We start from the raw sequence: 16,762 nt of genomic DNA, 5'->3' as shown, positions 1-16,762 counted from the left end.
AATGCTGTTGGTGATGAGGATTAGAGATACCATTCATTAAGTGCCTGGAATATGGGAGAGACTCACTTGATGGCTGCCATTATTACCAGTAGCTGTCCTAGCTTTGGCTCTCTGACACAGCCAAAGTGGCCTAGGGACATTTTTCCTTTGCCAGGAGAAAATGGCTTCCAGACCTCTGTAGCATCTTAGCAGTTTTTCTTTCTCTTTCTCTTCCTTTCTTTTTTTTTCTTTCTTTCCTTTTCTTTTCTTTTTCCTTCCTTCCTTTCTTCCTTTCTTTCTTTTCTTTCTTTCTTTTTCTCTCTTACTTTCTCTCTCCCTTTCTCTCTTTCTCACAAAGTCTTGCTCTGTTGCTCAGGCTGGAGTGCAGTGGTATGATCACAGCTCACTATAGCCTTAAACTCCTGGGCTCAAGTGACCCTCCAACCTCAGCCTCCTGAGTAGCTGGGACTACAGGTGTGTGCTACCAGGCTCAGCTAATTTCTTTTTATTTTTTGCCGAGACACAGTTTCACTATGTTGCCCAGGTTGGTCTCGAACTCCGGGGCTCAAGCGATCCTCATGCCTCGGCCTCCCAAAGTGCTGGGATTACAAGTGTAAGCCACCGTGCTCAGCTCACCTCCACTGGTTTCTTAAAGAAAGCATCCCTCCTGTACATGAGCTCCTTCAGATATGAACATTTAAAAGAAGGCAGATGATTAATAAATACGTGCTGAAGGGACTACCTCTAGAATATCACAGGTAGTTGCTAAATATGAAACATTCACAGGTGTTCACCATCTGCTCCGCCACCCAGGCACCCTAGTGAGGACCAGCTGTTGCACCTGCACATCCTGCTCCAGCTTGATCTTGATCATGTTGTATTCTTCGCAATCCCAGATCCTCTGCCTGTTCAGCTGCTTCTCATAGTCCTCTACTTTCTTCATGCGGTTGTTAAGATACTCCAGCTAAAGGCACAGGAAGACAAGGGAAAAGTTAGGGACCATCCTTGCCCCACCTCAATCCTTCGGATGGCCTGCCCAGCATGACACAGGGGAGAGTTTGGAAGTTTCATGGCTCCACAGGGAGTCTGGTGGCTTTCAGAAGTCCTGAATACCCAAGGCTTTTAGGACTTGGCTTGTATTGCCTAATGCGGTCATTACTCCAGAAACTCTAAGAGGAATGCTCCATTATGAAATTAAGCTCATCTCCTTGAAGTCTAAATATTTGAAAAAAAAAAGAAAAGAAATTACGCACAGACCCTGAAATCAGATGTTTATATTTCTAAAAAGTCTATTGGATCTTGGTCAAGTCACTTATTTGTTCTTCACAACTCTGAAATAAAGTGATAATCCCACACCCTTTAAAAAGGTGTCTTAAAACACCTTGGGCCATGAATATTCACAGCTGGGTGAGATACCCAGTAAACAGAGGGGAAAGTGACGGGCCCACGGAAAACACAGCAAGCTGCCCGGGTGGTACTCACCACCACCCAAGAGACAATCCCCATCTGCAAGGCCACACGGATTAGCTAGGAAATGCAGTAATGAACGCAGTAGCATTCAGCCACAGCAATTCTACTTAAGATACAAAAAGGCGGCCGGGCGCGGAGGCTCACGCCTGTAATCCCAGCACTTTGGAAGGCCGAGACGAGAGGATCATGAGGTCAGGAGATCGAGACCATCCTGGTCAACATGGTGAAACCCCGTCTCTACTAAAAATACAGAAATTAGCATGGTGGTGTGTGCCTGTAATCCCAGCTATTCGGGAGGCTGAGGCAGGAGAATCACTTGAACCAGACAGTCAGAGGTTGCAGTGAGCCGAGATTGCTCCACAGCATTCCAACCTGGTGACAGAAGCAAGATTCCATCTCAAAAAAAAAAAAAAAAAAAAGATAGAAAAAGGCTAGCTAGCAAATTCAGTCACAATAAAAATCACCCAGACCCCACGGATCACTCTTGACAGGCTCCACCCTTTACCTCTTTGGCATTATGAGCCTGAAGGGCTTGCTCCCATTTCTTCTTATTACTGGCCAGTAGCTCTTGGCGTTCCACCTCAAATGCTTTCTACGACCAAGAAGGAAAAACACTCTTGCATCTGTTTTGATTGGGCAGGTCCCACCAGTGTCAAAGAACTTTCAGGTAACTATAAGTGCCATATCACCAACCACATAGAAAAAGTCAAATCCAAATTCAGACCTGCCAAGTTTCATAAGACCAAATGGCTATGGAAGGAGCTGCATGGAAATTAGCATTATGAAGACGATACTCCAAATGCGGAGAGGAGATGTGCCAACAGTCCCGTGGCTTAGTCAATATCAGAGGCAGGGAACTGGAGGAAGGCCAGTGCCCCTGTTGGCAGTCACACGGCAGGCCATGGTGTGTAATTCAACTGTGACTACCACTGATGCGTTCGTTGCCATGGTTGGGGATCCCATGAAGCAAAGGCAGCATGAAACTCACAAGGGGTAGGTTTAGGAATGCAGAAATGAGTCTCTAACAACCGAGAGAGAGAGAGGCCTCCACCTTCTTGGCTCTCTTCCATCTTGGAAAGGGCTAAATCTCAATCTCAATCTTGAACATTTCATTCAAATTCAAAATACTGATTCCTGAATCCTATGCAGCACTCCCCTTTGCCACTGTCTGCCCCAATTGCCTTAAAGAAACAAGTAAATGCCTCACACAGGCTTTATGCTTATGGAGTGCTAATCCCCCTTTTTTATTCCCCAACCTCTTGCTCGTCTTATTTTCCTTCAAAACACTTATTACCACCTGTAAAATAATATATTTAGTAACTTGTTTATTGTCTAGCTGCTTCCTACTAGCATACAGTTTCCACCAGGAACTTTGTTTTGTTCACAGCTGCACCCCCAGGCCCCTGGAACAGTGCCCAGCATATAGTAGACACTTGATATGTACTTGTCATATGAATGAATGAGTAAATAAATTAATAAAACCTGAGAGCAGAAACAGAAATCAGCGGACAGAGAAGTCATGTAGGGCCCTCCTTAGATTATTAGGACAGACCTAGACCTCCTCCCAGGGGCCCTCCAAGAGCAGAAACCAGGTCTTTTCACACCCTGTTACCTCAATGTTATAGAGCTCCTCACGAAAGGTTTTCATCACATTCTTCACCTGTTCTTCCATCCGCTCCAGAAGCAGGCAGATGTCATCTGACTGTTTCTTCAAATCCTTCACATACTGGTCATCCTTTGTTTTTAACTCCTAGAAAAGAGCATGTAAAAGTCTGGCCACAAACTGTGTCAGGAGCAGAAGGTGCCAAACACTCTCTCTAGACTCCTCTCACCAGAATCTGTCAATGTTAGGACATGAAACTGTACAAAGAGGGCTGCGCACAGTGGCTCACACCTATAATCTCAGCACTTTGGGAGGCTGAGGCAGGTGCTTCAGCTCAGGAGACCAGCCCGGGTAGTATGGCAAAACTCTGTCTCTACAAAAAAATATAAAAATTAGCCAGATGTGGTGGTGCACGCCTGTGGTCCCAGCTACTTGGGAGGCTGAGGTGGGAGGATCGCTTGAGCCCAGAAGGTCAAGGCTACAGTGAGCCATGATTGCACCACTGCACACCAGCCTGGGAGATGGAGCAAGATCCTGTCTCAATAATAATAATAATAATAATAATAATAATAATAATAATAATAATAATCATCTGTACAAAGAGAAAGTGGTTTCAGAAGAGTCTTAGAAGGCCTGAGATAAAGCATAGTAGATGGAGTGGAATGGACTCTGCTCAGGGCAAAGCTCTTAACAAGCACCCAGGACCAAACCCCTCAATGTTATCACCTGCTGCAAATCTCCCTGCAAGCTCCCAGAAAGCCTAGAGTGTCCTAGCTGAGCAATTAATGTCCAGGTTCCAACACGAGAACATATCTACTGCAGACTAAGTTGCATTCCTTAACTAAGGACTAAACTCTGGAACAGCATTTGCTGTAAAAATACTACGGTCATGTGCTGCATAGCAACATTTCAGTCCATGATGGACCACATATACGACAGTGGTCCCATAGGATTATAATACGGTATTTTTTTTTTTTGAGACAGAGTCTTGCTCTGTTGCCCAGGCTGGAGTGTAGTGGCTCGATCTCGGCCCACTGCAAGCTCCACCTCCCGGGTTCACGCCATTTTCCTGCCCCAGCCTCCCGGGTAGCTGGGACTACAGGCGCCCATCACTATGCCTGGCTAATTTTTTGTATTTTTAGTAGAGACAGGGTTTCACCGTGTTAGCCAGGATGGTCTCGATATCCTGACCTCGTGATCCACCTGCCTCGGCCTCCCAAAGTGCTGGGATTACAGGCGTGAGCCACCGTGCCCGGCCATAATATGGTATTTTTACTGTGCCTTTTCTGTTTAGATACACAAATACTTAGCACTGCGTTACAACTGCTTACAGTATTCAGTACAGTAGCATTCCGGACAGGTTTGTAGCCTAGGAGCAATTAGTTATATCATATACCCTAGGTGTGTAGTAGGTTATACCATCTAGGTTTGTGTAAGCACATGTTATGATGTTCTCACAACAATGAAATCACCTAACAATGCATTTCTCAGAATATATCCCCATCATTAAGTGATGCATGACTGTATTTCTATTAGATAGCTAATAATTCTACAATTATGACAAAGCTTTTACTTCTAGTTAAAAGTTTATCCCTTGAAAAGACATCAAAATTGGAAGAGTTAAAATTATCTTTGTTCACAGATGACATGATCTTATATGCAGAAAAACTAAAGATTTCACACACAGGAAAACCTGTTAGAACTTAAATTCAGCAAAGTTGCAGGACACAAAATCAAAATTCAAAAATCACACTATTCACAATAGCCAAGAATTGGAATCAACCTAAGTGTCCATCAGCAGATGAATGGATAAAGCAAATGTGGTACCTATACACAAGGGAGTACTATTCAGCCATAAAAGAGAATGAGATCCTGTCATTTGCAACGACGTGGATGGAATTGAAAGGCATTACGTTAAATGAAATAAGCCAGGCACAAAAATTCAAACTTTGCATGTTCTCACTCATTTGTGGGAGCTAAAAATTAAAACAATTGAACTCGTGGAGATAGAAAGTAGAATGATAGTTAGCAGAGACTGAGAAGGGTAGTGTGGAGGGTCAGGGAGGAATGGGGATGGTTAATAGGCACAAAAATATAGTTAGAATGAATAAGATCTAGTATTTGACAGCATAACAGCGTGACTAAGGTCAGCTAGATTTATTGTACATTTTAAAATAACTAAAAGAGTATAACTGGAATGTTTGCAACACAAAGAAATGATACATGCTTGAAGTGATGGATACCCCATTTACCCCAATGTGATTATCACACATTGTATGGCTGTATCAAAATATCTTATATACCCCATAAATATATACACCTACCCATAAAATTTTTTAATTTTAAATTTAAAAAAAAAGCTCAGGTGCGGTGGCTCACAACTGTAATCCCAACACTTTGGAAGGTGGAGGTGGGTGGGTAATTTGAGGTCAGGAGTTTGAGACCAGACTTGGCAACGTGGTGAAATCCCATCTCTACTAAAAACACAAAAATTAGCTGGGCATGGTGATGTGCGCTTTAATCCCAGCTACTTGGGAGGCTGAGGCAGGAGGATCACTTGAGCCCAGGAGGTGGAGGTTGCAGTGAGCCAAGATCAGTCTACTGCACTCCAGCCTGGGTGACAGAGCGAGACTCTGTCTCAAAAAAATTAAATTAAATTAAATGTTTAAAAAATTTTAAATCAGTTGCATTCTTATATGCAAATAATGACCAATCCAAAATAGAAATTAAGAAAATAATCCATTTACTATAGCACCAAAAAGAATGAAATACTTAGGAATAAACTTAACAAAGTAGGCAAAAGCCTTGTACACTGAAAACTGTAAAACATTACTAAAAGAAATCAGAGAAGATATAAACAAATGGAAGATATCCTGTGCTTATGAACTGGATGACTCAATATTGTTAAAAATGTCCATACTATACAAAGTGATCTATAGATTCAGTGCAGTCCTTAACAAAATCCCAACATCATTTTTTGTGGAAATAGGAAAACCATCCTAAAATTTGTAAAATTCAGAATCTCAAGAGACTCCAAATTGCCAAAATAGTCTTGAGAAAAGAACAAAGTTGGAGGCCCCACATTTCCTGGTTTCAAAACATACTACAGGCTGGGCGCAGTGGCTCCTATCTGTAATCCCAGCATTTTGGGAGGCTGAGGTAGGTGGGTCACCTGAGGTCAGGAGTTCGAGACTAGCCTGGCCAAAATTGTGAAACTCCATCTCTACTAAAAATGCAAAAATTAGCCAGGCATGGTGGTGCATGCCTGTAGTCTCAGCTTCTCGGGAGGCTGAGGCAGAAGAATTGCTCTAACCCTAGAGACGGAGGTTGCAGTGAGCCGAGATCAAACCACTGCACTCCAGCCTGGGCGACAGAGCAAGACTCAGTCTCAAAAAAAAAAAAAATAAACAAAAACAAAACTGCAAAGAGCAACAGGAATTAAAGAATGTTGTACTGACATAAAAATAGATATATAGACCAAGGGAACTAGAGAGCCCAGAAATAAACCCCTACATATATGACCAAATGGCTTTGACAAGGGTCAAAATGATAAATGAATGATACATAAACCCCTGCATCTATGGTCAAATGACTTTTGACAAGACTATACAGTGGAGAAAGGATAGTCTCTTCAACAAATGATGTTGAGAAAACTGGATATTCACAGGCAAAAGAATGAAGTTGGGTCCTTACCTTATACCATATACAAAAATAACTCAAAATCGATTAAAGACCTAAAACTATTAAACTCCTAGAAGAAAATATAGAGGACAAGCTTTCTGCACATTGGATTTGGCCATAATTTCTTGGATATCACACCAAAATCCCAGGCAGCAAAATCAAAAATAGACAAACGGGGCTGCACCAAACTCAAAAATGTTTGCACATCAAAAAAAAAATCAAGACTAAGAAGGCAATATACGGAATAGGAAATCATAATTGAAAATCATATATCTGATAAGGGGTTAATGTCCAAAATACATAAAGAACTTCTATAACTCAAAAACAACCCAATTTAAAAATAAGCAAAGGATTTAAATAGACATTTCTCCAAAGATGATATACAAGTGACCAATAAACACATGAAAAACATGCACAACATCTCTAATCGTTACGGAAATGCAAATCCAAACCATAATGAGATATCGCCTCACACCATCAACACGGAAGCTATCAAAAAAACAGGATGTAAGTGTTAGTGAGAATACAGAGAAGTTAGAACCCTTGTGTACTGTTGGTGGGAATGTAAAATGGTGCAATCATTATAAAAAACAGTATGGAGGTTCCTAAGAAAATTAAAAATAGAATTACCATATGACCCAGCCATCCTGCTTTTAAGTATACATCCAAATAATTCAAAGAAGTATCTCAAAGAGATACGTGTATACCCATGTTCATAGCAGCATTACTCACAAAAGCCAAAACGTGAAATCCAACCCAAATGTCCATTCACAGGAGAATGTATAAAACAAGATGTGGTATATATATGCAATGAAATACTACGCAGCCTTAAAAAGGAAGGCAGTCCTGTCACGTGCTACAACGAAGTCCATCTATACTAAGCCAAATATGCTAGTCACAAAAGGACAAATGCTGTATGATTTCACTCACAGGAAGTATCTAATAGAGTAGTCAAAATCACAGAAACAGAAAGTAGAAAGGTGATTACCAAGGTCTAGGGGGAAGTGGAAGAGGGAATTGGTGTCTAAGGGGCATAGAATTTCCATGCTGCAAGATGAAAAAGTTCTTAGAGATCTATTGCATCTGAATGCTGTATACTTAACATGACTGAACTATACAGTTTTTTGGTTTTTGTTTTGAGACAGAGTCTCACTCCCTCTGTCACCCAGGCTGGAGTGCAGTGGTGCGATCTCGGCTCACTGCAACCTTTGTCTCCCATGTTAAGGCGACCCTCCTGCCTCAGCCTCCTGAGTAGCTGAGATTACAGGTATGTGCCACCATGCCCGGCTAATTTTTATATTTTTAGTAGAGATGGGGTTTCACCATGTTGGCCAGGCTGGTCTCAAACTCCTGACCTCAAGTTATCCGCCTGCCTCGGCCTCCCAGAATGCTGGGATTATGGGAGTGAACCACCTCATCCAGCCCATGAACTATACACTTTAAAATGGTTATGATGGCAAATTTAATGCTATGTGTTTCTTACCATCATGGAAAAAAGTTTATAACATGACTTGTACAGCATTCTAAATAATGAAGTAAAAGGTTTCTACATTTTTCCATTCAGGAAAAGCAAACCAGTAACCCAGCTAAATCCCAGGCAGATCCCCTGTGGCTGGGCTGGAGGGCCCGGGCCTCTTGCCTGCTGTAACTCGCTGATGAGTTTATTCTTATCTTCTAAGAGTCCAGCACAGTGCAGCTGTTGGGTATTGAGCATTTCCCACAGCTCTTGGGGAATTCTCTTCTGCTTGCCCTCTTCCCACTTTGAGGTGATTTCATCGAATTTGTCCTGGCTGGTCTTAACTTCATTCTCCAGCTTCTCAATCCTGCAAATACATACATGCCAGCCATGCCAACCCAGCTCCAGATGCTGCCTTCCAGTAGAGCAGGTACGTTCTCTAGAATCTCTAGAATATAAGACCCAGGTACTAGGCACTGCCCAAACACACCCGCCCAAAATCAAACTCAATGCTGAGAAATCTTTTCGTTTAACGCTTGACTGTAAATAACTTAGGCCAAGTAAAGAAAATGACACATAGCAAAAACAGATCAACATTAAGGCTACACACACACACACATACACACGCGTGCACACGCACACACACCAAGATCGATTGGTCACCTGCTTCTGAGTAAGATGATAACACACAACAGTTAAACACTGGGTCTCTGGAGTCACAGAGCTTATGTTCAAGTCCTGACTTGGCTCCTAACTGACTGTCAACCTTTCGGACAAGTTGCATAACTCCCTCAAGCCTCACTTTTCTCTTCTGTAAAATGGCGTGGATGAAAAGTATCTACCTTCAAGTGGCTGGCTGTTGTCAGGATGAAATAAGATGCTGCACACAGCACAGGTGCTCAGCATGGGAGTCACTTAACACATGGTGCTTAAATTATCAATTTTATATTAGCAACATGACCTCAAGTGTCTGGCTACTCCTCTCCCAAGTTACCAATAAATGACTAGTGGAATGTACAAATATGGAAACTCCACCAATGAGTGATGGAAAATAGGGACAGCCTTTCCATAAATTCCAAAGAACCTCCGTGATAGAGCACACCGAGGCTGGGGCGAGGTGGCAGGAAGGCAGGAGAGCTGAGCTGGGGCCCCTCTGGGAACAGTGGCTAAGATATCTGCCAGAGACTCTCTGCTCCTTGTAACAGACTAATCCTATGAGAGCACCTCCAAACAAACCCCCTGAGGAACCGAAGTCACAGCTTAAACATCCTGCAATCCCCTCTTCCTGTCCCATCCCCCACCCACCCCACCTTCCAAGCTAGGACACTTTTTTAATTTAATTGACTTTTTTATTTCAAGAAATGAGAAAGAGCTGTCAGGTCATCTTTCCGCAGCACACTGACCTTGTAACCTGCCACCTGGGACCTTCAGCATTCCTCTGTGGCTAGAGGACAAGGCCTAACTCCTTGCATGACCTTCCCTGCCTTTCACAAGCTGACCCTGCTGGGAATCTGCCGACTCCATTCCTGGCACAGCCCATACAGGCAGTGGGAAGTTTCGAGAATAAAAGTCACCCACGTTTACTGGTAGGGCTGCTAAAGTTGCTAAAGAGGGAACTGCTTATGCTGAACAACTAAAAATATTGTTAAAATCGACCCCTGTGTGTATATGATGAGACAAAATGGTCAAGTGGTTGCCTTTTTTTTTTTTTTTTTTAAAGACTAGGTTTCACTCCCATTGCCTAGGCTGGAGTCCAGTGGCACACTCTTGGCTCACTACAACGTCCACCTCCTGGGCTCAAGTGATCCTCCTGCCTCGGCCTCCTGAGTACTGGGACTACAGGTGTGCACGCGCCACCACACCCAGCTAATTTTTTGTGTTCTTAGTAGAGACGGAGTTTCACCATGTTGGCCAAGCTGGTCTTGAACTCCTGACCTCAAGCAATCCGCCTTCCTCGGCCTCCCAAAGTGCTGGGATTACATGCGTGGGCCACCCCGTGCCTGGCCAAGTGGTTGTTCTTCTAATTGTTTAAGAAATTAATTGAAGAACAATCCAAAGCTTAAATGAGGACCTGCTATCAGTCTACTTCTGTGTGCAAACCAAAGAAGTTTAATTCTTCTAAGCCGCTTATGCCTCCCTGCTGGACAGCCTGAGACCTGGGACATGGGCGTGCAGGGCAGCCTGCCTCCTGAGGACTGGAGCTGAGGACTTGACGCAGGTTCTTGTGATCCCTGTGAACCTCCATCCTTCTATGCATGGAGCCCTCAATATTCTTTAATAATGCTGCCACCTTTACACATAACACTGAGGTATTCGTGGGTCTGGTCATTCTCACCAATTGAAACCCAGGACTGCCCAGTTGACCTTCTTAGCCTCTTCTCTTTTCTTCCATTACCCGCATACATCCTTCGCTATCATGCCATTCCCAAGCACATCATGTGATCTCACACCTCTGCTCAAGTGTTCCCTCTGCCTAAAATGCCTACTCTTCAATTCCTCAAATTCCTATTCATCCCTCACAGCCCAGCTCAACGTCACCTTGCCTGGGAAGTTTTCTGTAATCTCTGCAGATAGAATTAAAGGCCTCCTTGTGTGTGTTACTACAACCCTTTACACATTATCTATTTTACCACGAATTATGGGTGTTTCCATGTGTCTCTTGACTAGACTGTGAATACCACAAACAGAGGCCGTGTTTCACTCCTTTTGTATACACACAGCTTGGCACGTATCAGCAATGTAGTGCTTGAGGAGGGGAGGAAAGAAAAGAGATGAGATAGCCGGGCGCGGTGGCTCACGCCTGTAATTCCAACACTTTGGGAGGCCAAGGCGGGTGGATCACGTGAGGTCAGTAGTTCGAGACCAGCCTGGCCAACATGGTGAAACCCCGTCTCTACTAAAAATACAAAATTAGCCTGGCTTGGTGGCGCATGCCTGTAATCCCAGCTACTCAGGAGGCTGAGGCAGGAGAATCACTTGAACCTGGGAGGTGGAGGTTGCGGTGAGCCGAGATCACGTCATTGCACTCCAGCCTGGGCAACAAGAGCGAAACTCTGTCTCAAAAAAAAAAAAAAAAAAAAGAGAGAGAAAGAAGAGGAGGGAGGGAGGGAGAAGTTATAAGGGCAGGAAGGGAATTGTCTAAGGTGGACAAAGTCACCCTCCAACAATTCGGGAGAACTGCCGGACCCATGGAGATTACCTTCATGTCCACCAGCTGCAGAGTAGCACAGTCCTTACCTTTGACGCTTTATCTCCTCTTCTTCGACTCTCCTGTGAATCTCTCTGATATCTATAGCCACCTGGATATTTGTCACCAACTCGGTGCCACAGAGCAGAAGTTTAGCCAATTTCTAAAAAGAGAGATATAAGAATTTACAAAGCTAGAACACTTTGTAAATAATATATAAAGTCTGAAACATTTTTGCACAACTGTCCGCAGCTTCTATCCATTCAAGCAGGAAGCAGCAACTACCTTAAGATTTTTAAGAGTAGCCTCTGTGTAGCAACCCTTTTCTATCAGGACATTTGTGATGTGATTTTACAGCTCACAATTTAAAAGCACTCTGCAGTTCTTGGCCAGGCACAGTGGCTCATGCCTGTAGTCCCAGCACTTTGGGAGGCCAAGGTGGGTGGAGCATTTGAGGTCAGGAGTTCGAGACCAGCTTGGCCAACATGGTGAAACCCCATCTCTACTAAAAATTCAAAAATTAGCCAGGCATGGTGGCGGGTGCCTGTAATCCCAGCTACTCAGCAGGCTGAGGCAGGAGAATCATTTGAACCTGGGAGGCAGAAGTTACAGTGAGCCAAGGTCACGCCGCTACACTCCAGCCTGAGCAACAAAGTGAGACCCTATCTCAGAAAAAAAAAAAAAGAAGAAGAAAAAGAAAGAAAAAAGAAAAAGAGAAAGAAAAGTCCAGTATCCAGTCATAATATGATGAGGCCTGGAGAAAAGCCACTGCGTTTGGCTAGAAGGGCATCATTAGTATCCTACTGTGGTAAGTTTTTGTCCAATCCTGGGCAAAATAAAAAATTTTAAAAAAAGCACTCTGCAGTTCTCAATGTACTTTATTTATTCACTGTAGAGAAGGCACCAGCCAACTTTTATACCAGCAGATATTGTACATTCATCTCAGCCTTGTCCCCAGCAGATCTCCAAGTGACTGACACTGCCGGGAGCCTTTCGAAGAACCTCAGTTGGGGAGGTGAGGCAGGTAATGACAGTGAGGCAGATAATGACAGTGAGGCAGATAATGACAGTGAGGCAGGTAATGACAGCTGTGCTCCCATGTCCATTTCTCCCTCTCCTTTTAGTAACAGAACACTCAAATTTTTGCTGGGATGTGGCTTCCCAAAATAGGTACCTTTCCCAGCCTCCCTTGCACCTAGAATACTATCTGATCAGTGACACAGGAGAAGTAATGTGTGCCACTTCTGAATTGTGACTTTAAGGGGAAAAGGTGTACCCTCTGCTGCCCCACTTCTGCCCCTTCTCCCAGGCTGGCATGTGGGGCTCAAGTAAAAGGTGATGAGCAGATAAAGGCAACTCAAGCAATGGCAGAGGGAGCTGAGGTCCCATCATCAAGCAGACCCCATCCATGTGAGCCCTGGACTACTTATACTCGGAACTGTTGAGACAGAGAAACAAGCTTCTGTCCTGCTGCAGCTAATGATATGTGGAGTCTTTCATTACATGGATTCTAAGGCAGGAAAAGATTGTAGCTGGCTGCACTGCTGTCTCCTTAATGGGCTCAGGGATTTTGTAATTGGTGCCATCCTTCTAAATCCCTCTTCGTAAATTCCATCTCCAGTATCTTCACTCCTAGCCTTGTTGTGATGTTATTCAAGATGATAAATCCTCTCAACAAAAAGTTCGAGTATCCTTAGGTTATGCCTAAGTTTTTTCAAGTCTTTTTGGAACTTATGAACTCTCCAACTCTCAAATAATTTTTAAACTAGGAACCTATAAAACTTCTACACCAAGGAGTCACAGAAATGACCAGAGACTTCACTTGATCTCACTATTATATGAAAAATTTGAAATGTAGTTTCATTGAATACAGAACAGAGCTTTAACCCAGATATCCAGGGCACTCTAGATTTTTTGTTAATGCCTGCAGTTTTATCACTTGTACAAAATGGTTTTACGTGCATAAGGAAGTAATGGCTTTCCTGCAGTTTGGGGTTATTTTCTAGTTTCTACTCAATGTGAACATCAGAGAGTTCTGTATAAGTACCATGTGCTAACCAATTACTGGAGTTCCAGAAATTTCTGAATCAAGTATTTAAGACTCAAAGTAAAATTAAAAATCCAAATGTCAGCCACCAACAGACCAAAATGCCCCTCACCTTTATGAGATCCAGGGAAAGCATTTAAATGGAGGTCCACATACCATATGTCTAAATATTTTTAAATTATAGTATCATGTAAAAATTGTTAAATAAAACATTCAGCCGGGCATGGTGGCTCACACCTGTAATCCCAGCAATTTGGGAGGCCAACACGGGCGGTTCACCTGAGGCCAGGAGTTCAAGACCAGCCTGAACAACATGGTGAAACCCCGTCTCTACTAAAAATATAAAACTTAGCCAGGCATGGTGGTGCACACCTATAGTCCCAGCTACTTGGGAGGCTGAGGCAGGGGAATCGCGTGAACCCAGGAGGTGGAGGTTGCAGTGAGCTGAGATCATGCAACTGTACTCCAGCCTAGGTGACAGAGTGAGACTCTGTCTCAAAATATATATATAATATAATATATATAATATATAATGTTGTATATATAATATATAATATGCTTTATATATACTATATATTATATATACTATACAATATATTATAATGTATATATGTATAAATATATAAATTATACATAATATATAAAAATATAATTTATATTATATATAAATTAAATATAATTTATATATTATATAAATTAAATATAATTTATATATAATATAAATTATATTTAATTTATATAATATATAATTTATATATTATATAAATTATATATAATTTATATTATATATAATTTATATATTATATAAATTATATATAATTTATATATAATATATATTATATATAAATTATATATAATTTATAATATATTGTATATTATTAATATATAATATATATTTAAACTATATTTTATATATATCCTCCTATCACAATACCTTTATGACAATTTAAAAGTCCTAGTTTGAATTCAGACACACCTCAGAGTTCTACTGATAACTGGGTGGCTAAGGAAGAGCCTGCCTCTGGCCACAGCTCCCAGCCCACCCCCAGCTCTGTCCTGCAGGCATGCGGATTTCCCCAACTGCACATCCAAGCTCCATCTATACCCTGTGGCCATCTGTTAGCCCCAGGGGTTGCATAACATTGGCCTCATCTGCCCTGAGCAGGACAGACTCCGGGAAGAGGCACATATAGGTTGAAGGTGGGCTCAAAGTCATTTGGACGGGGAATTTTGGCTCCCATCGGACTCAGTAATCTAGAGGGGACAATGGGGGTTTGAAGGGACATGGGACAAGTCTACTTGAGGGGATGTATCCGCAGGAAATCCAGAGCAGAACCTGGACCCCCATCGTCACCAATTTTTTAATGAGCTGGAGCTCATTAAATGAGCTGGAGCATCCAACTAATGCAATAAGGGAAGAAAAAAATAGAAGATATAAAATTAGACAGGAAGAAATAAAACTCATTATTTTCAGATGATATGATTATAGACGTAAAAAAATATTCAAAAGAAGCCACAGGTAACTATTAGAATTAACAAGTGAATTTGGCAAGGTCACCAGATACCAAGTCAATGTATTAAAATCAACTGTACATTTATATACCACCACGAACCATTATAACCTGAACAAAAAGTACAAAACATTGCTGAGCCAAATTAAAGAATACCTCCCATGGATTATAAATTCTATTCAATCAATTGAAATTCCAGCAGGTTTTTAGGTAGAAATTGACAAGCTGATTCTAAAATGTATATGTCAAGAATAGCCAAGACAAGGCTGGGCGCAGTGGCTCATGCCTGTAATCCCAGCACTTTGGGAAGCTGAGGCAGGAGGATTACCTGAGGCCAAGAGTTGGAGACCAGCCTGGCCAACATGGTGAAATCCCGTCTCCGGTAAGAATACAAAAATTAGCTAGGTATGGTGGCACATGCCTGTAATCTCAGCTACTCAGAAGGCTGAGGCATGAGAATGACTTGAACCCAGGAGGCGGCGGTTGCAGTGAGCCAAGATTGTGCCACTGCACCCCAGCCTGGATGACAGAACGAGGCTGTTTCGGAAGAAAAAAAAAAAAAAAAGAATAGCCAAGTAGCCAAGACAATCCGGAAGAACACAGTTAGAGAACTTACCTTACCAGACATCAAGAACTGTCATAAAGCTACAGTAATTAAAACTGAGTGGAATTGGCACAGAGCTGGTGATATAGTTTGGATATAGTTTCGATCTTTTGTCCCTGCCCAAATCTTATGTTGAATTTTAATCCCCAGAGTTGGAGGTGGAGCCTGGTGGGAAATGATTGGATCATGGGGGTGGATTCCTCATAGTTTAGCACCATCCTCTTGGTGGTGTTCTCATGATAGTGAGTGAGTTCTCGTGAGATCTGGCTGTTGTAAAGTGTGTGGCACCTCCTTGCACTCTCTCTCTCACTCCTGCTCCTGCCATGTGAGATGCCTGCTTCCCCTTTGCCTTCTGCCATGATTAGAAGCTTCCTGAGGCCTCCTCAGAAGCAGAAGTCACTATGCTTCTTGTACAGCCTGCAGAACCATGAGCCAATTAAACCTCCTTATAAATTATCCAGTCTCAAGTATTTCTTTATAGCAATGTGAGAATGAACTAATACAGACAGACATATAGATACCAAAAAAGAGAATGGAGAATGTAGAAACGAACTCACACATACATGGTCACCTGATTCACAACAAAGGTGCACAACAATGCAGTGGGGAAAGGATGATCTTTTCAGTAAACGGTGCTGGGTCAACTAAAAATCTACATAGAAAACAATGAACCTGGAACCCTACCCTTACACGACAGACAGAAATCAATTCCAGATAGGTCATAGGCCAAAATGTAAATGATAGAATTATAAAGCTTCTAGAAGAAACGATAGAAGACTATCTTCATAAATATGAAGTAGACAAAGGTTAAACAGGACACAAAAATAATGACCACTAAAAACATGGTAAGGCCGGGCACGGTGGCTCACGCTTGTAATCCCAGCACTTTGGGAGGCTGAGGCAGGCAGATCACTGGGTCAAGAGATCAAGACCATCCTGGCCAACATGGGGAAAACCCTGTCTCTACTAAAAATATTGCACCACTGCACTCCAGCCTGGTGACAGAGCAAGACTCCGTCTCAAAAAAGAAAAAAAATGAAAAACTGCAGGGTCAAGGGTGGGGACCAGCCTGCCCAGATCTTAGGTCAGAACTAATAATCAATGCCTTAATCTTGAGGAAGGGAGCATTTTTGTGTACATTTCTCCTTGATGCCAAGGCTCTTCACTACTTAATTCCTAAGTGAAAGGAACCTTCAAAACCTGCTAATGAAAACAATATTATCT

At 42.4% G+C, this 16,762-nt stretch overlaps 1 protein-coding gene across 2 annotated transcripts in view; it reads right to left on the bottom strand.

Annotated features, from left to right (window-relative positions):
* The window catches only part of DRC1 (dynein regulatory complex subunit 1), a 54,792-nt gene that overhangs the window by 23,885 nt on the left and 14,145 nt on the right, over positions 1–16,762 (bottom strand). Inside the window, exons 3-7 of one of the 2 annotated variants that reach the window (NM_145038.5) lie at positions 11,427–11,539; positions 8,373–8,556; positions 3,062–3,199; positions 1,955–2,041; positions 821–943 (exon numbers count right to left, since the gene is read on the bottom strand). In NM_145038.5, coding sequence (NP_659475.2) covers positions 821–943; positions 1,955–2,041; positions 3,062–3,199; positions 8,373–8,556; positions 11,427–11,539 — 645 coding nt within the window. Of the gene's footprint in view, positions 1–820; positions 944–1,954; positions 2,042–3,061; positions 3,200–8,372; positions 8,557–11,426; positions 11,540–16,762 lie in introns of those variants that run through there. The other variant, XM_047446339.1, reaches the window with a different exon arrangement.

Source organism: Homo sapiens, chromosome 2, assembly GCF_000001405.40.
Source record: "Homo sapiens chromosome 2, GRCh38.p14 Primary Assembly".
Classification (NCBI taxonomy): domain Eukaryota; kingdom Metazoa; phylum Chordata; class Mammalia; order Primates; family Hominidae; genus Homo; species Homo sapiens.
Note: the sequence above shows the minus strand (reverse complement) of the source record. Positions and strands in the feature narration are given on the sequence as shown.